Source organism: Homo sapiens, chromosome 17 (genome assembly GCF_000001405.40).
Source record: "Homo sapiens chromosome 17, GRCh38.p14 Primary Assembly".
NCBI lineage: Eukaryota > Metazoa > Chordata > Mammalia > Primates > Hominidae > Homo > Homo sapiens.
This window is the reverse complement of record NC_000017.11, coordinates 60,315,703-60,341,678: the sequence shown is the minus strand read 5'-3', so window position 1 is coordinate 60,341,678 and position 25,976 is coordinate 60,315,703. Positions and strand designations below refer to the sequence as shown.

General features: G+C 40.8%; 1 protein-coding gene and 1 pseudogene across 8 annotated transcripts in view, besides 2 other annotated features; one reads left to right on the top strand and one right to left on the bottom strand.

The window, feature by feature from the left end:
• The window catches only part of USP32 (ubiquitin specific peptidase 32), a 245,090-nt gene that overhangs the window by 80,738 nt on the left and 138,376 nt on the right, over window positions 1-25,976 (top strand). The window lies entirely within an intron of this gene.
• Window positions 13,177-14,023: an enhancer, noted in NCBI's record as "H3K27ac-H3K4me1 hESC enhancer chr17:58405017-58405863 (GRCh37/hg19 assembly coordinates)". NCBI's record gives its function as "activates a minimal SCP1, AML or CMV promoter by ChIP-STARR-seq in naive H9 embryonic stem cells {active_cell/tissue: H9 hESC(naive)}" and the evidence as "EXISTENCE:reporter gene assay evidence [ECO:0000049][PMID:30033119]".
• Window positions 16,180-16,333: a silencer, noted in NCBI's record as "fragment chr17:58402707-58402860 (GRCh37/hg19 assembly coordinates)". NCBI's record gives its function as "represses an EF-1alpha promoter that drives an FKBP-Casp9 reporter gene in an ReSE screen in phorbol 12-myristate 13-acetate-treated (for megakaryocytic differentiation) K562 erythroleukemia cells {active_cell/tissue: K562(+PMA)}" and the evidence as "EXISTENCE:reporter gene assay evidence [ECO:0000049][PMID:32094911]".
• On the bottom strand, window positions 25,464-25,845 carry H3P42 (H3 histone pseudogene 42; annotated as a pseudogene).

Below are 25,976 nucleotides of genomic sequence, written 5' to 3'. Positions count from 1 at the left end.
AAGAAAGGGTATCAGTGATCGAATATCAAATCAATGAAATAAAGCAAGAAGACAAGGTTAGAGAAAAAAGAGTAAAAAGAAATGAACAAAGCCGCCAAGAAATATGAGACTATGTGAAAAGACCAAATCTACGTTTGATTGGTGTTCTCTTGGCAAAAGCCCTACAAGCCAGAAGAGAGTGGGGGCCAATATTCAACATTCCTAAAGAATTTTCAACCCGGAATTTCATATCCAGCCAAACTAAGCTTCATAAGTGAAGGAGAAATAAAATCCTTTACAGACAAGCAAATGCTGAGAGATTTTGTCACCACCAGGCCTGCCTTACAAGAGCTCCTGAAGGAAGCATTAAACATGGAAAGAAACAACTGCTACCAGCCACTGCAAAAAGTGATGGGGAGAATGGAACCAAGCTGGAAAACACTCTTTAGGATATTATCCAGGAGAACTTCCCCAACCTAGCAAGGCAGGCCAACATTCAAATTCAGGAACAGAGAACACCACAAAGATACTCCTCAAGAAGAGCAACCCCAAGACACATAGTTGTCAGATTCACTAAGGTTGAAATGAAGGAAAAAATGTTAAGGGCAGCCAGAGAGAAAGGTCGAGTTACCCACAAAGGGAAGCCCATCAGACTAACAGTGGGTCTCTAGGCAAAAGCCCTACAAGCCAGAAGAGAGTGGGGGCCAATATTCAACATTCTTAAAGAAAAGAATTTTCAACCCAGAATTTCATATCTAGCCAAACTGAGCTTCATAAGTGAAGGAGAAATAAAATCCTTTACAGACAAGCAAATGGTGAGAGATTTTGTCACCACCAGGCCTGCCTTACAAGAGCTCCTGACAGAAGCACTAAACATGGAAAGAAACAACCGGTACCAGCCACTGCAAAAACATGCCAAATTGTCAAGATCATTGATGCTATGAAGAAACTGCATCAATTAATGGGCAAAATAACCAGCTAACATCATAATGACAGGATCAAATTCACATGTAACAATATTAACCTTAAATGTAAATGGGCTAAATGCCCCAATTAAAAGGCACAGATTGGCAAATTGGATAAAGAGTCAAGACCCATCAGTGTGCTGTATTCAGGAGACCCATCTCACGTGCAAAGTCGTACATAGGCTCAAAATAAAGGGATGGAGAAAGATCTACCAAGCAAATGGAAAGCCAAAAAAAGCAGGGGTTGTAATCCTAGTCTCTGATAAAACAGACTTTAAACCAACAACGATCAAAAGAGACAAAGAATTTTTGTATTTTTTGTAGAATCGTGGTTTTGCCATCTTGCCCAGGCTGGTTTTGAACTCCTGAGCTCAAATGATCCTCTCCCACCTTGGCCTCCCAAAGTGTCAGGATTACAGGTGTGAGCCACTGAGCTTGGCAGGGCTGGTAATTTTGAAGCTTGAATTTAGTTTTAGTGGGTGGATAGACTCATGGAATGGATGATCTATATTCCACAACTGCAGGGAGGTCAAGTTAAATAATGGGATTTATAAACAAGGTAATTAGTTGCAAAGCTAGGGAAGGGTCAGTGCATATGACCCTTGTGAGTTCTTTTTCAAAATCCTATGGAGAAAAAAAAATCCTATGGAGAGCTTGGACCTTTAAGTCTGAGTAAACAGAGCATCATTATTCTTGGTGAGATTCTGAAATTAATGTTTTGAGATATCATAGCAGTATTTTAACATCAGTATATCTATAAAGAAAGCTACAGGACTACACAAGCTGCCAGTTGTAGATGGAAAGAACTTTATTCCCTAGCTAATAATGTTTTGTTTTAATAGTAAAAGTAATAACATATATTTTTTAAGAGCAAGGAACGATATTTTTGGGATTTTATTATAAAAGGTTCATGCACTTAAAAAGGATAACCACTTTAGAATATATTATATAAGGAAGCAATGTAAATTTCTAAATTATTTTCCTGAAAACAGTAGCTTTATATTTTTAGAGCAAAAGAGAGATTTATCTAGGATTAATGGAGCTCCAATTTTTACTTCCGAAGACTTACTGTTATACATTCCAATGCAGAGAATATTTTAGGTGAGGAATAAGAACTCATGGCAGTTTATACTTTTTTTTTTTTTTTTTTTGAGATGGAGTTTTGCTCTTGTTGCCCAGGGTGGAGTGCAACAGCATGATCTCAGCTCACTGCAAACTCCGCCTCCCAGTTTCAAGCAATTCTCCTGCCTCAGCCTCCCAAGTAGCTGGGATTGCAGGTGCCCACCACCACGCCTGGCTAATTTTTGTATTTTTAGTAGAGACGAGGTTTTACCATGTTGGCCAGGCTGGTTTCAAACTCCTGACCTCAGGTAATCCACCTGTCTCAGCCTCCTAAAGTGCTGGGATTACAGGTGTAAGCCACCATGCTCGGCCATTTATACCTTTTAGCACTTATGTGCATATCTCATTAGACATACTGTTTTGAGGATAGATTAGTGTACTTAATATTTTTATGTTCTTCTAGGCTGGGCGCGGTGGCTCATGCCTGCAATCCCAGCACTTTGGGAGGCTGAGACGGGCAGATCACCTGAGGTCAGGAGTTTGTGACCAGCCTGGCCAACATGGTGAAACCCCCATCTGTACTAAAAATGCAAAAATTAGCTGGGCGTGGTGGCGGGCTCCTGTAATCCCAGCTACTTGGGAGGCCAAGGTAGGAGAATTGCTTGAACCCAGGAGACAGAGGTTGCAATCAGCCAAGATCACGTCACTGCTCTCCAGCCTGGGCAACAGAGCAAGACTCCGTCTCAAAAAAAGAAAGAAAGAAACAAAGAAAATATTTTTATGTACTTCTAATCTTGCTTATAATCGTAACCATGTATTACTTGAATAAAATAATGAACAGAATTTGAGGGGATTGAGAAAACAAGGTAAATGGAAAATAAATGAAAAATGTATTCTACTTGAGATTAGTCTTTTTCTGAACCAAGGCCACTATGTTTTTTTTGAGACAGGGTCTCACTCTGCCACCAAGGCTAGAGTGCAGTGGTGCAATTTCGGCTCACTGCATCCTCGACCTCCTGAAGTCAAGCAATCCTCTCACCTCAGCCTCTCAAGTAGCTGGGAATACAGGTGCGTGTCACCACGCCCAGCTAATTTTTGTGTTTTTTGTAGGGATGGGGTTTCACCATGTTGCCCAGGTGGTCTTGAACTCCAGAGCTCAGGTGATCACCCTGCCTCGACTTCCCAAATTGCTGGGATTACAGATGTGCGCTACCATGCCTGGCCTCACCAACTCTGAATTGTCTAGTGTTTTTATTTTCTTTAGGGTGCCACCTCCTCAGAACATCTACTCCTCTCAAACAAATTTAATAACAAAACATTTCTATGTAGTATTTTTTTTTTTTTTTTTGAGATAGAGTCTTGCTCTGTCACCCAGGCTGGAGTGCAGTGGCGCAATCTTGGCTCACTGCGACCTCCAGTTCCCAGGTTCAAGAGATTCTCCTGCCTCTGCCTCCCAAGTAGCTGGGATTATAGGCATGTACCACCATGCCCAGCTAATTTTTTGTATTTTTTGTAGAGATGCAGTTTCGCCATGTTGCCCAGGCTGGGCTTGATCTTTTGGGCTCAAGCTATCTGCCTGTCCTAGCCTCCCAGGGGACTGGATTACAAGGCATGAGCCACCACGCCTTGCCTGCGTCCAACAATTTTAGCCAACATTGTTTTTCTCTTATCCTAAACTCTCTTTCAAGCATTAAAGCCTGAATCTGTAGTACATAGCACAACATTTTATTAGATAATGGCCCATTCACTAATTGTTCATGTACGTCTTGTCTAATCTTATTCATGTAAATCTTGAGACCGTCTCATTTCTGTCTCCCAGGCTGGAGTGCAGTGGCCCGATCATGGCTCATTGTAGCCTCGACCTCCCAGGCTCAAGCGATTTTTCCCACCTCAGCCTCCCAAGTAGGTGGGACACAGGCATGTGCCACCATGCCCAGTTAATCAGTTTATTTATTTTTTGTGGAGACGGGGTCTCACCATATTGCCTAGGCTGGTCACAAACTCTTAGGCTCAAGCAGTCCTCCCTCATCAGCCTCCCAAAGAGCTGAGATTACAGGCATGAGCTACTATGCCCAGCCAAAATTGTTATTCTTGATGGGCAGACTTTATGACTTAAAAAAAACATATGCCCCAGAGTGCTGTGCATATTGTATATACTTAGCGAATATTTGATTTATTAATACTTTCTTTTTAGTAGTTGTTATTATTCTGCAAAATCCTATTAAAAGAATGACCAAAACAATAACCAAGAGACGAGGAGACCTGAAGGTAGTTAGCTTTGCTAACTTTGCAAGCTTTGAACACTTAACCTTTTTCTAGATTAGAGGAAACTGTGTATATTAATCAAAAGCCGTATTAGATTCCGGAGTGTTTTTAGACATAGTGATCAACATGTGAAAACAAACAGCTGATTAGTAGGATATTTTCCTATTAGTGCTGGTGAATTTATGCTGAAGTAGTCTTGTTGCATTTAGATGTCCTCTGAGTTGGGGGGCCTGCATATTTACCAGATAGTCTAGGTTTAGGGAGAGTATCACAGAATAGTGATTTGTATTTGGTTTCTTTGATGATAGTTGATCTATATTATTGATTAAATCCCTTTATGTTGGACTTACCAGCATTAAGGGCTAACAACTTTCTTGACAACTCTAGTCATTGATAACTCTTGATACTGTTGGTCACTGACTGTTGTAATAGTAAAATGATTAACTTGTTTATATTAACTAGAGAAAAGCAGCTAACATTTTTGTTACGGTATATCTTGATCTTGACATCATAGCTGACAGAACAACCAGCAGGATACTGGTTTGAAATCTTTCCCTGTAACTAGAATCTGTGAAATATTCCCTAGTACATTATGTTGATTGCCTCTCTTTTTGTTCATAGTGTAACATTCATACTAGTTCTTAAATTTCATTGTCTTAATTCATTTCTTTTTTTTCTTTTTTTTTTTTTTTGAGATGGAGTCTCGCTCTGTCTCCCAGGCTGGAGTGCAGTGGCGGGATCTCGGCTCACTGCAAGCTCCGCCTCCCGGGTTCACGCCATTCTCCTGCCTCAGCCTCCCAAGTAGCTGGGACTACAGGCGCCCGCCACTACGCCCGGCTAATTTTTTTGTATTTTTAGTAGAGACGGGGTTTCACCGTTTTAGCCGGGATGGTCTCGATCTCTTGACCTCGTGATCCGCCCGCCTCGGCCTCCCAAAGTGCTGGGATTACAGGCGTGAGCCACCGCGCCCGGCCAATTCATTTCTTTTTGTAAGACAGGACAAAAAAGATTTCAAGGCTTCTGTAAGATGACAGTACAACAGAGTATATCACTCTCTTCTGGTAAACATATATGAACTTTAAAAAATATGTGCATTATTATCTTGATGGTCCTTAGTTGTCAAGTTTTAAGCTAGAGCAAATTTAAACAGCTTCATAAGCTATTGAAAAACAGAGTTCACAATAGAAGATCTAACATATAGTTAAGCGTAATGGGACTAGTGAACTCCTTGTAGAAAACTTTACATCAAGAACATTACATAGATTATGGATGTTCTAAGTGGTATGCCAGATGTTAAAGAAGTAATTCATACTAAAAAACACTCTTACAGAAAATACCTTATGTATAATTACTTATTTCAAATTCTTGGTGTATTAACCGAGCTACTGACATGACTAGTGTAGTAGACGATAAAAACAGTTGGGATCCTATCCAAGTGAGTCTTTATGAGAAACTTCTATCCTTAATAGGTATTATAAAGGAAAATAAGGTTAAGTTTATAACTGGCAGTGTTACAGACTCTGCCAAAATTTAGCTGATAAAACTTAATCAGAATTTGGTTATACATGTTGCAAAATTCAATGCAACAACAAGATCTGTGTAACCTTCAACAAAAGCACATGACCCATTGCCCACTTCTTGAAAAATAATTGCTAAGGAATAAGGCTAAGGGCCAGGGAGGGCTATAGACAGGGTTTTTGTCTCAGGGAACAAAACCTGGACTTGTAACTGGGCTGACCAATGAACGTACTCTCTTGCCCTGGCAGTTTACCTTCATGACTACCGTATGTTTTCCACTTTTCCCTTTTCTGAATGGAAATTTCTATTGTAGATATATTTTTTTCTACTTCACCATTCATAATACAAGTAAAAGAAGAGGTACAACTTGTGTTTTAGTTTATAGGTCACCAGACCACAATGAATCACCTTTAGAGTTAGTGGAAAGAATTGAAAATCACATAGAGACCTTGGACCTGAATGTAGGAACTGGATAGGACTTTGTGGAAGTCTTTGTTAGGAATGGAGTTGTTTTATGCATAGAAGAAAGATTTTATGTGTAGGAATAAGTGGGTGTTTGGATGAAGAAAGACAGACACATACTTAATATTTGCAGGGACTCAGGCAAGGATACAAATGGAGGGCCGGGTGTGGTGGTTCACACCTGTAATCCCACCACTTTTCGGAATCTCAAGGATTGCTTGAGCCCAGGAGTTTAAGACCAGCCCTGACAACATAGTGAGACCTCCTCTCTACAAAAAATAAAAAAAATTAGCTGGGTGTCTTGCACGCCTGTAGTCTCAGCTACTTGGGAAGCTAAGATGGGAGGATCACTTGAGGCTGGGAGATTGAGGCTGCAGTGATCATGCCACTGCACTCCAGCCTGGGCAATAGAGACCCTGTCTCTTAAAAAATAACAAGAAACATCAGCAACTGTTAAATAAAAAAACGTGGCTGGGCGCGGTGGCTCACGCCTGTAATCCCAGCACTTTGGGAGGCCGAGGCAGGTGGATCACGAGGTCAGGAGTTTGAGACCAGTCTGACCAACATGGTGAAACCCCATCTCTGTATATATATTGAGCTGCTAAAGCTAGACACAGTTGACCCTTGAACAATATGGATTTGAATAGCGCAGGTCTACTTATACACAGAATACACTGTGGAAGGCATATAATATGTGTTATCAACTGTTTATGTTTCTTTTCTTTTCTTTTTTTTTGAGACGGAGTCTCGCTTTGTTGCCCAGGCTGGAGTGCAGTGGCGCGATCTCGGCTCACTGCAAGCTCCGCCTCCCGGGTTCAGGCCATTCTCCTGCCTCAGCCTCCCAAGTAGCTGGGACTACAGGCGCCTGCAACCACGCCCGGCTAATTTTTTGTATTTTTAGTAGAGACGAGGTTTCACTTATACACAGATTTTTTTCAATGAATATATTGGAAAAATTTTTGGAGATTTGCAACAATTTGAAAAAGCCACAGATGAGCCGCATGGCTTAGAAACATCAAAAAATTGAGAGAGATATGTTGTGAATGCATAAAATACAAGTAGATACTAGTTTATTTTATCAGGTACTACCATAAAATTTATACATCTATTATTAAAAGTTAAAATTTATCAAACCTTATGCATACAAACACAGATCGTACATGGCCTCATTTGCAGTCCAGAAAAATGCAAACAGAAAATGCAATATTAAACCATAACTGCATAAAATTAACTGTAATATATATTATAATACTATAGTAATTGCATGGCCACCTCTTGTTGCTTTTTTACAGTAAACTCAAGTACTGTAAGTATTCGAGGTGCTAATCATCTCCATATGAGCACTTCATCTTTCCAGTAAATGGCATATTACAGTAAAAGTGATCTCTTGTGTTTCTCACATATTTTTTATTGTGTTTAGTGCAGTACCCTAAACCTTGAATAACACCATGTGACCCATATCAAGTGCCACTTGTGATCCTGGAAGTGTTCCCAAGAAGCAGAGAAAATCATGACATTATAGGAAAAAATTGAATTGTTTGATACGTAAAGTAGATTGAGGTCTGCAGCTGTGGTTGCCTGCCACTTCAGACAGATGATTCTTGCTGTAAACAGATGACATAAACTTATGATAAAAACAGTACAGTACTGAAAATGTATTTTCTCTTCTTTACGATTTTCTTTCCTTTCCTTTTACTTCCCTCTCCTCTTCTTCCCCCTCCCCTCTCCTCTCCTCTCTTTTCTTTCCCTCCCTCCCTCCTTCCCTTCTCTCCCTCCCTTTCTTTCTTCCTTCTTTCTTTCTTACCTTTATTTATTTATTTTTTGTTTTTGAGATGGAGTCTCAGTCTGTCACCCAGGTGGAGTGCAGTGGCACAATCTTGGCTCACTGTAACCTCCACCTCCCGGGTTCAAGTGACTCTCCTGCCTTAGTGTCCCAAGTAGCTGGGACTACAGGAGCATGCCACCATGCCCGGCTAATTTTTGTATTTGTAGTAGAGATGGGGGTTTCACCATGTTGGCCAGGCTGGTCTCAAACTCCTGACCTCAAGTGATCTGCCTGCCTTGAGTCCCAAAGTGCTGGGATTACAGGCATGAGCCATCATGCCCTGCCTTTATGATTTTCTTAATAACATTTTTCTTCTCTGCTTACTTTATTGTAAGAATACACTGTGGAAGGCATATAATATGTGTTATCAACTGTTTATGTTTTTGGTAAGGCTTGTGATTGTCAGGCTATTAGTAAAGCTTTTCTGGAGTCCAAAGTTATACTCAGATTTTCAACCTTGCGGGGAGTTGTGCCCCAGCTTCTGTGTTGTTCAAGGGTCAACTGTAATTGAAGTCTTTAATTTGTTTTTATTTTTCCTTAAAGATTATGATACCAGTAATTTTTTTTCATTGAGTAGTCTTTCTTTGACATTCTCTCTTTCAAAATAGAAATATCTTGAAAATGTAAGTTCTGTGTACTATACATAGAGTAAGATGTTTTCACAATGAGGATTTTCTTTTTACTTCTTTGTAAAATTTTATTAGATGATTCAGTGATAAAAAGGAAGCTCTATTGGTATATGCAACAACATGAATGAATCTCAGAAGCATTATGCTGAATAAATTAAGCCAGGAAAAAATAGCATGCATGTTTAAGATTACATTCATATAAAATTCCAGGAAATGCAAACTAATCTATTGTGAAAGGAAGCTTGCCTGGAGACTGGGTGCCGATATTGGTGCAGGAGAAAAGGGAAAGCATAGGTTATATAGGGGCAGAGTAAACTTTTTTTTTAAGACAGAGTTTCTCTCTTGTTGCCCAGGCTGGAGTGCAATGGCATGATCTTGGCTCACTGCAGTCTCCGCCTCCTGGGTTCAAGCGATTCTCCTGCTTCAGCTTCCCGAGTAGCTGGGATCACAGGCGCCCACCACCACGCCCAGCTAATTTTTTTATTTTTAGTAGAGTCGTGGTTTCACTATGTTGGCCAGGCTGGTCTCAAACTCCTGACCTCAGGTGATCCACCCGCCTCAGCCTCCCAAAGTGCTGGGATTACAGGCTTGAGCCACCGCGTCCGGCCCAGAGTAAACTTTTGAGGCGATAGAAATGTTTGGTTTTTGTTTTCTTCATTGTGTTTAGTGATTGGTATATATGCATGACAAAACCGATTGACTGTACACTTTTTTCTTTCTTGAGACAGCATCTCGCTCTGTCACCCAGGCTGGAGTGGCGTGATCTCTGCTCACCTCAACCTCCACCTCCCAGGTTCAAGCGAGTCTCGTGCCTCAGCCTCCCGAGTATCTGGGACTACAGGCATGCACCACCATGCCCAGCTAATTTTTTGTATTTTATTTTATTTTTGTTTTGTAGAGATGGGGTTTCGCTATGTTGCCAAAACTGATCTTGAACTCCTGAGCTCAAGCAATCCTCCCACCTTGGCCTCCCAAAGTGCTAGGTTTACAGGTGTGAGCCACTGTGCCTGACCTCAATTGTATACTTTAAATGTGTGCAGATTTTTTAATATTAAAGTTTATTTTATTTTTTTTTGAGATGGGGTCTTACTCTGGTGGCCAGGCTGGAGTACAGTGGCATGATCACAGCTCACTGCAGCGTTGACCTCCCCAAGCTCAAGTGATCCTCCAGCCTCAGCCTCCTGAGAAGCTGGGACTACAAGTGCATGCCACTATGCCTGGCTAACTTGTATTTTTTTGTTTTGCTGTGTTCCCCAGGCTGGTCTTGAACTCCTGGACTCAAGCAATCCTCCCACCTTGGCCTCCCAAAGTGCTAGGTTTACAGGTGTGAGCCACTGTGCCTGACCTCAATTGTATACTTTAAATGTGTGCAGATTTTTTAATATTAAAGTTTATTTTATTTTTTTTTGAGATGGGGTCTTACTCTGGTGGCCAGGCTGGAGTACAGTGGCATGATCACAGCTCACTGCAGCATTGACCTCCCCAGGCTCAAGTGATCCTCCAGCCTCAGCCTCCTGAGAAGCTGGGACTACAAGTGCATGCCACTATGCCTGGCTAACTTGTATTTTTTTGTAGAGATAGGGTTTTGCCATGTTCCCCAGGCTGGTCTTGAACTCCTGGACTCAAGCAGTCCGCCTGCCTTGGCCTCCCAAAGTGCTGGGATTACAGGTGTGAGTCACCACACCCAGTCTAAGTATATGCAGTTTTATTGTACTTCAGTTGTTTCACAAAAGTTGGTAAAATGTTAAATTAAATATACTTTTTGGGTTTTTCAGGAAGAATACTTAACACTATTTAGGAAAGTGAGCCTGGAATATAAAAGTTGACTATTGGACAGAACTATCATTTCCTTTTCTATCTTTGTTAGGGCATTTGTATTTTGGTTGAACTTTATTATTTACTTAATGATCTTTTCCTAGTCACTTAAGTTCTGAGACAAAAGAACTTCCAAAACTTTGATCAGAATTGTAGGAATTTAGGTATATGACTAGCTTGAGTGAAATTGGAAAAGTTACAAGTACAGTTAACTTGTGATGTTCTACCATTGACTTGGAAACTTGCCTGGAATGGAGGGGAGAAGGGTGAGGGCTGGGTTAGGCTGGGAAAGTTGGGATAGTGAAAAGAAGAAATGCCCAGTGATAAATTTGGAACTCTGTCTTTTCCTTATGATATGAAGTTATATTTGGGTTTAACTAAGCTTTTAGAAAATCTCCAGCCTGGCCAACACAGCGAGACCCCATCTCTACAAAAAATACAAATATTAGCCAGGTGTGATGATATGTGTCTGTAGTCCCAGCTACTCGGGAGGCTGAGGCTGGAGGATTGATTAAGCCTGGGAGGTTGAGGCTACAGTGAACCATGATTGCACCACTGCACTCCGACCTGGGTGACAGAGTGAGAACCTGTCTTTAAAAAAAAGAGAGAGAGAGAGAAAGAGAGAAAGGAGGGAGGGGGGGAGAGAGAGAGAGAAAGAGAGAAAGAAAAAGGAAAGGAAAAGAAAAGAAAGAAGGAAGGAAGGAAGAAAAGAAAAGAAAGAAATCTAAGTTAAAGCAAGGAGACTCCAGAATGAGATTACTGAGAATAGAAGATCCAGGATAATTCACTTCCATGAAAAATATGGATAATAAAGTAGAATAAGGACAGACAGGAGGAGCCACTTGTGAGGACAAGGAGGCCAATTTTAAGATCATGGATGAAAAGCGTAGAACAGCAAAGAAAAAAGCTACTCAGGAAGTCTCAATAGGCAAAATTCAGAGCTACTAATTTTAAAGAGAGCAATTTTGACTTGAAACCTAGTAATTGAACCAGAAGCTTTAATAGGCATTTTTGGGCACCAGCGGACCTGAGGAGGATTCAGTTTCTTCCTTGGGTTAGGAATAGATCAGCTATTGAGTAGGGACAAATATTGCTTTAAAGGAAGCTAGTGAGTGGAAAGGGAGTTACAACCCAGAACTTCAAAGAAATTATTTAATTATTTTAAACCAGTGTGAAGCTAATTGCAAGGGCATACGAATAACTTACCTCATTGATCTCTAGTAATACTGCTTATGCTCTGAGTATCTCTTGTAGTTGTGTATTTAAATAGACCTAAATAGACAAGGTATGTTCAGAGGCAAGAAAAGGAGACTGAGTCGCAGGAGTTGGTATTCTATGTGTTGGCAGCATGAAGTTGCCTAAGGCAGAGTGGTAATCTGGTTTGTGGAATCAGTCCTAGAATTAGTTATTGGTCTGACAGTCTGTCAGATATAAGTAGGTAATATTCTGAGGTATTCTAGATATTTTGCATAGAAAAGGCTCCTTTGCTTTTAAGAGTTGAGGAAGGGAGAAAAGTAATAAGGAGTGTTCTATTCTATAAATTTAAGAAGAGGCTGGGCATGGTGGCTTATGCCTGTATCCTAGCACTTTGGGAGGCTGAAGTGGGAGGAATGCTTGAGGCCAGGAGTTCAAGGCCAGCCTGGGCAACATAGTGAGACCTCATCTCAAAAAAAAAAAATAAATAAAAACAAATTATAATGATAATAAATTTAAGCAGAGTATTAGTAACTTTCTGATTCTCATGTTCTATAAACATTTTATGGTCTGGGCTCATACCTAGCATATAATAGTCAACAATTCTGTGGGATATATTATCTGACACAGTCCTATCCTAAGACCCCTCTGGAACTCTTAGGACAATTCTTACATGAAAAAAAAAACACACACACACATTGTCAGGCAAAAACAATAAAATATACCAAGAAGATGGAGCAACTAACATCTTTTTGTTTTTTTCTGGAAGTATTATTTAACACTTTCTTTTTACGAATAAACAGTTTCCTTTTTCTTTTGTTATATTAATTTACTTAATAATTATACATATTTATGGAGTACAGTGTTGTTACAGCATCTTTAGGGTGTCTCCTTTCTGGCCAGAAACGTGTGGCTGGTGGCGCCTTTGTCTGGGCCCGCTGGGCTTTTTCCATCCACTTGGCCTGGCAGGCTCACACTACCAGCCTGGATCTCATGCCTCCAAGGGAGACTGCGTGAGTCAGGCGTGGAGCTGGGGAGGGGTGTGTGAGCTAGAGTGGGGTACAGCCAGTGTGCAGTCAAGACACACTGGCTGCTGCCACAGAGCAGGTAGCTCCAGGTGCTGGCATGGGCGTTGCCTTCCTGCAAGGCTGCAGCTGGACCAGGTGCACTTCAAGCAGCTTCTCTGGCTGCTCCCGGGGAGTGTGATGGCGTCTGGAAGCTTGGAGACATCAGGAACCGCAGGGCCCCAAAGAGGGACTCATAGCCCTGGCTCAGGGAGCTCCCAGGTCTGGCCTTCTGGAAGGGCTGCAGCTCTTCTCTCCTTCTCTTTGCCCACAATGTGGCAAGAATGTTTCAGCTCTGTTTATGTTATAGCTCTTTTAGCCTTGCCATTTAGTGGATCCCAAGCTTTTGTCCTGCACCCAGGAAGAATGAGGTATGCAGATGGAGGGTGAGGAAGATGAAGAGGAGCTTTATTGAGCAATAGAACAGCTTAGAGGAGACCTGCAGTGGGCAGCTCCTCTCTGTAGCCAGGGTATCCTGAAGAGTGTTCAGCTCTCAGCAGAAGGGGTAGCTTTTCTCTTCAGCTGGTCATCCCATCCTCGGTCCAGCTCTCAGCAGAGAGGGTAGCTCCTCTCTGCACCTGGTGGTCCCATCATCTGTCCAGCTCTCAGCAGAGAAGGTAATTCCTCCCTGCAGCTGGTTGTTCCATCATCTGTACAGCTCTGGCTGATCCTGGGGCTTTTATGGGCCTCAGAGGGGAGGAAGTATGCACTGATTGGTCTATGGATTGCTGTGCCTGGAAAAGGCACCACAAGTTCCCACTCCAGTCCACAGGACTAGCAGCCTGGCCCCCAGCCTTCAGGCCCTCCCTGGCCCGGAAGGTGGGGCCTCAGTGGGGACCTGCCCCCTTCTGCCCAGGAGCCTGTCTGCTGCCTGCCGCCATCCATGGCTCCCAGGCTGCTCCTGCCAAGGGGCACCTGCAGGCCAGCACCGAGCTGCACTAATCTCCCCTTGATTCCCCCATCTTGCTTTTTGGTGCCCAAAGTCCAAAGCGGGCTGAGGTGGCAGGCAGCTAGCACGTCAGCACCGCCCTGAGTGTCCACATACCTGGCCGGGCTGTGACAGTTACCTGGCTTGGCTTCAGCCCTGCTCCAAGATTGGAGCAGGGGCTGGGAGTCGGGAGAGGCCAGGCAGCAGGAGCAGACATTCCTGAGCCTGCAGGGGCAGGGGGACTTCCCCGGACCCCTGAGGGTGCAGAATCCAGAGATGTCCAGGTCCTGCATCTGAGAGGGCGGGGCTTTCGCTCACTGCCTGGAGCATGTCGGCAGCCCTGGCCGCATCTCCTTGCAGCCTGGTGTGGGGGCTCCATGTCCTCGCTGGGCCCCTCTCTGCCTGCCCCTCCTGCCCAACCGTGCTGCTCTTCTGCTGGCGGGCGGGCTCAGCCTGGCTCCTGAGGTGGGGTGGGGTGGGCGGGCCCCGCTTGTCCCTGGGTCCCGCTGCCTTTGTGGAGTGGGGCACCGCCCCAGGCCCAGCTCCGCCTCCCCCCCGCCCCCCACCAACCCACATTGACAGCTGTGCCATGGGCTGCTTCGGTGACGTGGAGCACAGGGGACCCACTGCCACTATTGCTGCTCTTGAAGCCAATCCTGCCACCACTGCCTGTGTCTCCCTGCTGCAGCTGGCGTGACGTCAGCGGCCACTCCAGAAGGCTCGCCGTTGCCATCAGTGTGATGTTTAGATACGTGTATATAATGTCAAATAGGCCATTACACATGGCCATTAGCATATCCATCATCTCAAACATTTGTCATTTCTTTGTGTTGGGAACATTAAAAAATCTGGTCGTCTAGCTATTTGAAAATATACAACCAATTGTTGTTAATTATAGTCACCCTATAGTGCTGTAGCATGCTACAACTTTTCCCTCCTATCTGGCTGTACTTTTCTATACATAACCAACTTTCAGCTATCACTTCCTCCCCCTCCCTTTCCTCGCCTCTAGTAACCACTATTCTACTCTCTACTTCTATGAGATCAACTTTTTTAGCATCTACGTAAGACTGAGAACTGTTTACCTTTCATGAAGTGTTTATTTTTTAACAATAAAATAACTTGGCAGGATAGTAATCTATATAAATATAACTCAGAACATCTTGTGGAAATAACTAGTTTTATTTTCATAAAACTTAGTAAGTCTCTTTGGGGGGAATATTTTATACTCTGTGCATGAATTTTCCTTTGGTGATTCTCTAAGGGAATCTAAAAGAAAGAAACATCTTACAGAGTGTCTCATACTGAGATCCACAAATTCCATGTGCTGCTGCTATAAGTATTAAGTCCCAGTAGAATGAGAAAATAAACCATGGCCGGGCACAGTGGCTCATGCCTTTAATCCCAGCACTTTGGGAGGCCAAGGTGGGTGGATCACCCAAGGTTAGGAGTTCAAGACCAGCCTGGCCAACAGTCCCTACCAAAAATACAAAAATTAGCCGAGCATGGTTGTCGGTGCCTGTAATCCCAGCTACTTGCGAGGCTGAGGCAGGAGAATCGCTTGAACCTAGGAGGCGGAGGTTGCAGTGAGCCGAGATTGCGCCATTCCACTCGAGCCGGGGCGACGAGAGCGAAACTCTGTCTCAAAAGGAAAAAAAAAAAAGAAAACAAACCATGGTGTCAAATAAGGACCCGAAATCAGGTTACTAGGGCAGAGGGTGTGATGAAATGCAATCTTTGATTTATGATGAATCTATGTATCAGTAGGAAATGCATCACCTGTTTTGCAAGTAAATCTTACTTATTTACTTATTTTATCAAAGTGACATATGCACATAGTTAAAATAGAATAAAAAAAGAGTTAGTGAAAACAAGAGTTCCTATCCTTACCTAGCTCAATTTTATCAGGGTTCCAGAAGCAACCAGTTTCTAGTAGTTGCTTCTGGTACATACCACCATTTAGTTCTAAATATTTTTACTTTTTTTTTTTTTTTTTTTTTGAGACAGAGTCTTACTCTGTCACCCAGGCTAAAGTCCAATGACTTAATCTCAACTCACTGCAATCACCTAGGCTGGAGTGCAATGGTGGGATCTCAACTCACTGCAACTTCTGCCTCCTGGGCTCAAGCAATCTTCCTGCCTCAGCCTCCCAAGTAGCTGGGACTACAGACATGTGCCACAAATGCCTGGCTAATTTTTGTATTTTTTTGTAGAGACAGGGTTTTGCTGTGTTGCCCAGGCTGGTGTTGAACTGCTGGGCTCAAGCGATCTGCCAGCCTCAACTTCCAAAAGTGCTGGGGTTATAGGTGTGAGCCACCGCGCCTGGCCCTTTACTGTTATTTTAAAATAATTTTAAACTTATCTTTTGCTTTGCATTTGTAGAAGAGATACGTATTTAACTTTCTTACATCCCTCCCTGACAAAATCCAGTGAAATTATATCACAATTTTTGGTTAAATCAGTGTTATTTACAATATTATGACTATGTAAATATTCCTTGCAACATAGTGTACTATGATATAGTTTTCTTTCTTTTTCTCTTTTTTTTGTATTTTGAGACAGGGTCTTGCGCTGTCACCCAGGCTGAAGTGCAGTGGCACAACCTTGGCTCACTGCAACCTCTGCCTCCCAGGTTCAAGAGATTCTCCCTCCCACCTCAGCCTTCCAAGTAGCTGGGATTACAGGTGCACACTGCCACACCTGGGTAATTTTTGTATTTTTTGTAGAGACAGGGTTTCACCATGTTGGCCAGGCTATTCTCGAACTGCTGACTTCAAGTGATCTGCCCTCCTCAGGCTCCCAAAATGCTGGGATTACAAGTGTGAGCCACCGTGGCAGCTAGGTTTCTTTCTTATTCAATATTTTGTTTTTCCTTGTTTTAAAAATTGCCTTATTTTTTCCTATGCTTAGTTTTCATAACACCTGTAGCTAAATCATTTTAAACCTTCCAACAGTTTTTTGTTTTTTTTGAGATGGAGTTTCGCTCTTGTTGCCCAGACTGGGGTGCAATGGCATGATCTCGGCTCACCGCAAATTCTGCCTCCTTGGTTCAAGCCATTTTCCTGCCTCAGCCTCCTGAGTAGCTGGGATTACAGGCATGCGCCACCACACCTGGCTAATTTTGTATTTTTAGTAGAGAGGGGGTTTTCTCCGTGTTGGTCAGGCTGGTCTCGAACTCCCGACCTCAGATAATCTGTGGGCCTCAGCCTCCCAAAATGCTGGGATTACAGATGTGAGCCACCATGCCTGGCCTATAACAGTTTTTTAGTATAATTTTCTGAGACAAAGTTTAATTTTTTACATTGCTTTTCAAAATGTATTTTTTATTTCTGTTGAAGTAATGTGAGACATCAAGATAAGGTATCAATGCATTGAAACAAAGAAAAGATAAAGTATCAAAGGTGAAATGAGGGTGACTTTTAACCATACCATTTACATGTTGTTAATTACCATTAATAACAATGGGAAAATATAAATATAAAATTCTATCTATAGGAACCCATTGATCTCAGGGGTAGGGGAAATGAGGTTTAAGAATTGGTTTCTTCTCCTGCCTCATGTGGAAGACACTGAGATAGTCTTTTTCGAATCAAGTTAGTAGCATTTTTGAAAATGTGTTTTCACTTTTTTCTAGAATCTGGTTAGTTTTAAAAATAGTTTTTAATTAAAATATATATATATATATATATTTGAAACACGGTCTTGCTGTGTCACCCAGGGTGGAGTGCAGTGGTGCAATCATAGCTGATTGCAACCTCGAACTCCTGGGTTCAACCAATCTTCCCGCTTTAGCCTCCCAAGTAGCTGGGACCACAAGTGCACCACCATGCCCAGCTAACTTTTAAAAATGTTTTTGTAGAGACAAGGTCTCACTGTGTTGCCCAGGTTGGTCTTGAACTCCTGGCCTCAAGCAATCTTCTTACCTTGGCCTTCCAAAGTGCTGGTTTTACAGGCATGAGCTACTGCACCTGGCCTGGTTTATGCTTTTAAAAAATCATTTTATAGTTTGCACTGCTGATTGCTTAAGCTATTTTATGCATGGGTGGCAACTTTACTAGTATTCCATCTTTGAAGAAGAATTTCTTAATTTCCAAATGGCAGAAGCTGTAGAGATGTTTTGACGCTTTTTAGAAAACAGTAAAGCATATAATACTTCACATGAAGGTTTATCTTGAACTACTTTTCCAGTCTTCCTTCTTTCTTGTTATATTTGACTTTCAGAAATTTTAGGTGAGATATAAAAAGCCTTATAGGAGCAGTATTCAGCAAAGTGTGTTTAACCAACTTTGTTACATACACCAGTTCTTTGCTTTAAAAGAAATAGTGTTTTGTTTTTCTTAAAAGCTTTTATTGAGCTATAATTTACATGTCACACTATTCACACATTTAAAGTATACAATTCAGTGGCTTTTACTATGTTCATAGAGTTGTGTACCCATTACCACAGTTTCATCTCCCCAAAAAGAAACCTTACTTTAACAGTCATCCCTGTTTTCTTCATCCTCTCCTCTCACAGCCTTTGGCCAACTAATATACTAATCTACTTTCTGTCTATATAGATTTCACTATTCTAGTAATTTCATATAAATGAAATCATGATTTTCTGTGATTGGCCTCTTAGATGAATCTTGAAAACATGTATCAGTCCTTTATTCCTTTTTATTGTTGAATAATATTTCATTGTATGCATATATATATAACATTTTGTTTATTTCATCAGTTAATGAATATTTGGGTTATTTCCACTTTTTTGTTATTATAAATAATGCTGCTGTGAACATTTGTATACCTTTGCGTGGATATATATTTCCATTTCTTTGGATATATACCTTGCATGGAATTTCTGGGTCATATGGAACTCTTCATTTAACTTTTTGAGGAACTGCCAGACTATTTTCCAAAGTGGCTGCCCATTTTACATTTCTACCAATAGTATATGTGGGTTCCAATTTCCCTATATCCTTGGAGTTTAATTAATCTGTGTTTTTTATTATAGCTGTCCTAGTGGGTATGAAGTTGTGTCTCATTGTGGTTTTGATTTGCATTTTCCTGATCTCCAGATGTTCAAATTTCTTGATCAAATGGACTAGTAAATCTGAAATGAAAATATTTATACATTCATGTGGTGTATATGTATATGGAAATTTGTAATTGGCATAATTGGCTCAATCCATTTTAGTGCTTTGAAGAATGTTAAAGTTTTCTGTTTTTTAGCAATAAATATCTTTAAAATGTTAAAGTAATTGTTAACCAAATTTAATGTTGATATATGGTATTTATATTTTATATGGTGGTTCTATAAATGTAACTCCAAGTCTAGAACCCAGGGACTATCTCCTTTTTTTGAACCCTGAGTCAGTTAATTTTCGTGTTTTCTAATCTTGACCCTTTTTTGAAATTCTATTTTTTTAGTGTGTAGAACAAACATCAGAACTTTTCTGAAATTACATCTATTTATTACAATCTATTTTTAAAATACCAATTAAGTTATTAATTTTGTATAAATAAATTTTTGTGAAGATTTACTAATACAGAGAGCCAAAATGAAATCCATGTGGATTTCAAGTTGTATATGCCATGCTTTTTCTTGGCTTTTAGTATAATGCTTATTAAATTCATTGATTTAAGAACAATATCTTAAACACTTAAATATGATTTAGGGAGCCAGGCATAGTGGTATGTTCGTGTAGTCCCAGCTACTGAGGAGGCTGAGGTGGGAGGATCCCTTGAGCCTAGGAGTTCGAGGCAAGCCTGGGCAACATGGCAAGAACTCATCTTAAAATAACCTTAAAAAAAAGTTTGGCCTATAGAGTTACCTACTCAGTTCACTTTAAAGAACCAGCATGTTGAGTCTTATGTTAAACACATCTTATAAAACAGTGGGCCTATTTTGTATCTAGTTGTCACATTTTACTTAACTTTTTTTCTCTGTCTCATAAAGACATGCTTTTATTCTATTTATTTCTGTTTATTAAGTTTTCTCAACAGTCATTGAATGCCAGCTATGGGCACTTTATTGCAAAGGGATGACTAAAGTTGTGGCAAAGGTCAAAGACAATTTCTTTTTCAGTTAGTATCACTAGGGCTAAAAAAAAAAAAAAGCCATCTGATTAAAATAGTTACCACTGAGGTGTTAATGATTAATAGAGTTGACCATCACAACGAATGGTCACTGTTAAAAGAGAAGCTTGTCTTTCCAGATTTCCAATTGATAGATTTAGGGAAGTGGCTTAAAATTTTTTTGTTGTTGTTACTGTATTTTTCATTGTAAAATTTTCATTTGGTCTTCTGTATTTTCTGTTACTATGTTTAAACTGTTGTGTTTCCATTCATTTCAAGAATGTTTGCCCTCATTTCTTTGGGAATTTTTGTAATAGCTGTTCTAAAGCCTTTGTCTATATCCAATGTGTCTCACCTGATTGATGGTACCTGTTGATTGATTGTCGTTTCCTAATTGAGATGATAATTTCCTGGTTCTTTATGTGCTGAGTGATTTCAGATTATATTCTGGACATTTGGAATATTGTGTTATGAGATTCTGATTGTTGCTTTGGAGATGTCGGTATATTTGTTTTATCAGATCCTTGATAATGATGGGCTCAGGGCATCAGTTCCCACCAGTCTTACGTTGGTTGTAGTTCCAATGTCAGTTAAGTTTTTAGAGTCTTTGCAGTGGTATTTGTATCTGTCCCATATGTGTACCACCCAGTGGCTAGACTGGGACCTGGGTTTTGGTCTATGCTGAATTTTAATTCTTAGACTTTGATAAGCAATTTAGGCTTATATCCATTCATATACAGCTGGGAGGTATACCCAGGAGTTCAAAAGACAACTTTCCTGAGCTTCTTCCTCTCCTCAATATTCTTTTTACTTTCTATTTCCCTGGATCTCCGATTTTCAGTCCTCTGGTTAGAGAGTTAGGGTTTTTAGTTATACTACTGTGCCATATACTTTGTGCTACTGCGTCTGTATCCGGAGCCAAGCTGTAGGAGGTAAGAGGACAGAGATGGGGGAAAAAAAGCAATGAGAATTTGTCCCATTCTCCTAGGACCATAGCTACTCTGGAGAGGGTTGTAGGCTAAATAATGGCTTCAAAGATCTCCAGGTCCTAGTTCCTGGAACCTGCATGTGACATTTGCCTGGAATTCTGGTAATCATTGTACATGTTCTAAAATGCTAGTTTTATTGCTTATTACCCTTTCTGAAAATATTTTTATTTATTAGGGAAACTCTTCCTTGATTACTAAATAGGTTTATATAACTGTGTGCAGCACATCCTCAAATAATGTCATCTCATCACTCATTCGGTGTTGTTTTTCATTATAATGTTGATGAAAAAAACATCAATTTCTGGCCAGGGCCACTGTGTGGTTTGCATGCTCCCCCACATGTCTGTGTGGGTTTTCTCCAGGTACCCCGGTTTCTTCCCTCATCCCAACGGTGTGCACGTTTGATGACTTGGCATGTCTAAGTTGTCCCAGTCTGAGTGAGTGTGGATGTCTGCGTGAGTGTGCCGTGTGATGGGATGGTGCCCTTGAGCTGCTGACATAGGCTCTGATTACCTGTGACACTGAACAGTAATAATTGGGTAGATATAGTAATTTATCTTACTTGTTTTTATTAATTTTCCTCAAATGTATGTACAGCTTACATTTATTTCAATGTTTAATATTAGAAATGTTTTGGGGTATTTATTTAGAAGTTTGGTGATATTTTTGTGACCAGAAACATACCTCAGGAACTTGACTCTTGTTTATATCAATTAACCTGTGGTAAAATTGGTTTCATTCTACCTGGTGTCATTTGAAGTTGCAGTTTCCAAGAACCTATCCATGATGTTAAATGAGGACTTAATTGTATTCTTGGTAGTTTGTTTAAATAACAGTTTGGGATTTTCAACAGATTACTCCCTGAAAATATATTGTGTGAGAGAAGAGTTCCAATGCTGATATTGAAGATACTTACGCAGTCATCCTTGGTGTCTGTTGGGGATTGATTCTAGGCCCACCAGGATACCAAAATCTGCAAATGCTCAAGTCCCTTAAATAAAATGTTTAGTATGCACACACCCCTCACCCCCGTATACTTTAAATCATCTCTAGATTATTTATAATACCTATTGCAATGTAAATACTACGTGAATAGTTGTTATAGTGTATTTTTAAATTTTGTATTATTTTTATTTTTATTTTTGAGATGGGGTCTCACTCTGTCATCCAGGCTGGAGTGCAGTGGCGCTATCTTGGCTCACTGCAACCTCTGCCTCCTGGGCTCAAGCAATCCTCCTACCTCAGCCACTTGAGTAGTTGGGACTACAGGTGCGCACCACCACTTCTGCCTAATTTTTATATTTTTTTGGTAGAGATGGGGTTTCACCATGTTGCCCAGGCTGGTCTCAAACTCCTGGGCTCAAGCAATCTGCCCGCCTCAGCCTCCCAGAGTGCTGGGATTACAGGCATGAGCTACTGTGCCTAGCTCGCAGAAGTACTTTCTATCTAAGTGTTTATTATACTCGTATTTATTATCTGAATATTCTTAATCTGAGTCCCTGTATTTTACTATGTTTTAAAATTTTTGTTGTGGCAAGAGCTACTGTGCCTAGCTCACAGAAGTACTTTCTATCTAAGTGTTTATTATACTCGTATTTATTATCTGAATATTCTTAATCTGAGTCCCTGTATTTTACTATGTTTTAAAATTTTTGTTGTGGCAAAATATATAAAACATAATATTTGCCATTTTAACCATTTTAAAGTGTACAGTTCACAGACACTAACTACATTCACAATATTTTGCAGCCATCACCACTATCTTTTTCTAAAACCTTTTCATCATCCCAAACAGAAACTCGGCTCATTAACCATTAATGCTCCCAACCCCTTCCCCTAAACCCTCATAACACGCAGTCAACTTTTAGTCTTTATGAATTTGCCGATTCAAATTACTTTACGTAAGTGGTATCATATAATATGTGTCCTTTTGTAGCTGGCTTATTTCACTTAGCATAATGTTTTCAAAGTTCATTCATGTTGTAACATGTATCAGAACTTCATTCCTTTTTATGACTGAATAATATCCCATTGTAACGAATAACTTATTTTAAAAAGTGGTCAATTTTTCACTCACATCCTTCTCTAACATTTCTCTTACAAGGTTACCGTTTTTGTATCTTGCTAAATGTTGGATGTTATAAATTGATGTAGCACACCAGCTTGAAAATGATGTAGGATATCATTAATTCAGTAAAATTTTTGTGTTTTGGTTCTACTCCATTTAAGTTTGGGGGCAGTAAAACAATTCTGTAAATTCACCTGACCTAGTCCCAGCCTTGTTTTCTGGGTTTGGAGGTGGGGGTGCAGCTAAAAGCCACTAATGATTTTGTCACAGTTTCATAATCCTGAAATTTTTGTTGTCTTTACTTGAGTCTCAACTGGAAATCCTCTGCTTCATGGAGGTAGAGTTCAGCTGTTTGAATTGGGAAACTGGAACTTTCCCTTCTAGAGATGTGAACAAGTCCTTTTCCCTGCTGCTTCTTAACCACAGTTAATATGCATAATGGTTAATCCCATGCTGTTCTCTAGATGGAATTAGATTAGTGAACAGGAGAATATATAATTCTTTAATCACTACCATTCAGCATAAAATTGTATTAGCCTAAACAAGCCAAAAGGTCATCACTTTGTTGGCTAAAAATTTCAAGCTTGATCTTCTTCTATATCTTTATATATGCTGAGTTTATAAGGAAACTGCAGTTTAAATAGATTAAATTTAATTTTGTTGCTTTTAGCCTAGTGTCACAGCCTAAGATGAATTTGATTTAATTCTGTTAACCTTTTAGCCATCCCTACCAACTTTGTCATTTACAAAACTGATACACATGCTTTCTATGTCACAATTTGTACCACTGATTTTAAAAATGTTTAACAGTCATGATCAATAACAAAAGCCAGTTGGCTGTTTTTTTTGTTTGTTTGTTTTCTGTTTTCTTGAGACGGAGTCTGGCTCTGTCGCCGAGGCTGGAGTGCAGTGGCACCATCTCAGCTTACTGCAATCTCTGCCTCCTGGGTTCCAGTGATTCTCCTGCCTCAGCCTCCCAGGTAGCTGGGACTATAGGCGCATGCCACCATGCACAGATAATTTTGTATTTTTAGTAGAGACGGGTTTTTACCATTTTGGCCAGGCTGGTCTCACTGTGTTGCCCAGGCTGGAATGCAGTGGTACCTCAATCTCCCAGGCCCAAGCAATCCTCCCTCTTTAGCCTCCTGTGTAGCTGGAACTATGGGTGCATGGCACTACACCTAGCTAATTCTTGAATATTTTGTAGCGGTGAGGGTCTCGCTATTTTGCCCAGGCTGGTCTCAAACTCCTGGCATTAAGCGATCTTCCTGCATTGGCCTCCCAAAGTATTGGGATTTATAACATAAAATTAACCATTTTAACTTTTTTTTTTTTTTTTTTAGACAGGGTCTCACTCTGTCACCCAGGCTGGAGTGCAGTGGCTTGATCATGGTTCACTGTAGCCTTGACCTCCTTGGCTCAAGTAATCCTCCCAGCTCAGCCTCCCGAGTCGCTGGTACTACAGGCATGCATCACCATGCCTGGCTTATTTTTAAGTTTTTTTAATAGAGATGAGGTCTCACTATGTTGCCCAGGCTGGTCTCAAACTCCTGGGCTCAAGTGATCCTTGTGCCTTGGCCTCCCAAAGTGCTGGGGTTATAGGCATGAGCCACTGTGCCTGGCCCATTTTAATCACCTTTAAGTGAACATTTCAGTAGTATTAATTACATTCACAATGTTGCCCAATCACCATGCCTATCTACTTTCAACATTTTTCATCACTCCATTTTTCTCAAATTTACATGGAAAAATAATTTTTCTTTCATCACACCAAACAGAAATACTGTACCTGTTAAGCAATTATTTCCCATTCTTCTTCCTCCCCAGCCCCTGATAACCTCCAGTCTACTTTCTACTTCTATGAATTTGCTTGTTCTAAATATTTCATATAGTGGAATCATACAATATTTGCCATTTTGTGTCTGGCTTATTTCACTTAGCATAATGTTTTCAAGGTTCATCCATTTGTAGCGTATATCAGAACTTCATTCCTTTGTTTGTTTGTTTGTTTTTATGAGTCAAAGTCTCGCTCTTTTGCCCAGGCTGGAGTGCAATAGTGTGATTTCTGCTCACTGCAACCTCCACCTCCCAGGCTGAAGCAATTATCCTGCCTCAGCCACCCGAGTAGCTGGGACTACAGGCGCCCACCACCACACCCGACTCATTTTTGTATTTTTAGTAGAGACGGGATTTCACCATGTTGGCCAGTCTGGTTTCGAACTCCTGACCTCAAGTGCTCCCCCTGTCTCAGCCTCCCAAAGTGTTGAGATTACAGGCATGAGCCACCGTGCCTGGCCCATTCCTTTTTTTGTAGTTACAGGAACAACACAGAAGAGAGACAATATTAAAAATACGTACTTACTAGTTGAACTGCGGAAACGTGCTCACTGAAGCACTTTGACTTGCATTAATGCTTTACATACCCATATTTATATTAAAAATTCTCTTGCAACATGAAAATAGAAAAACTCCCTATACCTGATTTCCGTTCCCCATTTTCCCACTTGCAGTCATTTACTTAGGTAGCTTTTCACCCCATGGGGAAAAAAAAATCTAGGGTTCAGAACTACCAGTAACAGGGAAGAGAGAATTTTTTTTTTTTTTTGAGAATGAAATGTTACTCATCATAGCATATTCTTAAGCATGTGCTCCATATATGCGGCAAGGTAGCTGAATGTCTTTTGGCATAATTGTTACATGTTTGGCATGGATAGCAGAGTGGTTGATGTCTTCAAAAAGGCCAACCATCATTTGCCTCCTGCAGAGCACCAGTAACTGTATTCTGGAAGCACAGATCTGTTTTGAAGTCCCATATCAGATGCTGGAAGGGAGGTTTGTGAATCAGAAGTTCAGTGGACTTGTGATAAGGTTCAGTGTCACAGAGTACCAGACCAGGCCTGTAATGATGACGTTTCTTTACCCCTCCAATAGAGGGTGCACTCTTGTGAATGGCTTTTGTGGCTAGTTACTTCGTGGGTGCTTTACCATGGTCAGTTTGCAGGCAATCTGTTTTGTACAGGCCATGCTATAGAGACTTATTTACTTATTCTTCAGCTCCCTCTGCAGGAGCTCAGTGAGCTAAAGGTGCTAGAGAGCTGTAATGGCTGCAAACACCCATTCTTTTTTATGGCTAAATAATACTTCACTGTGTGT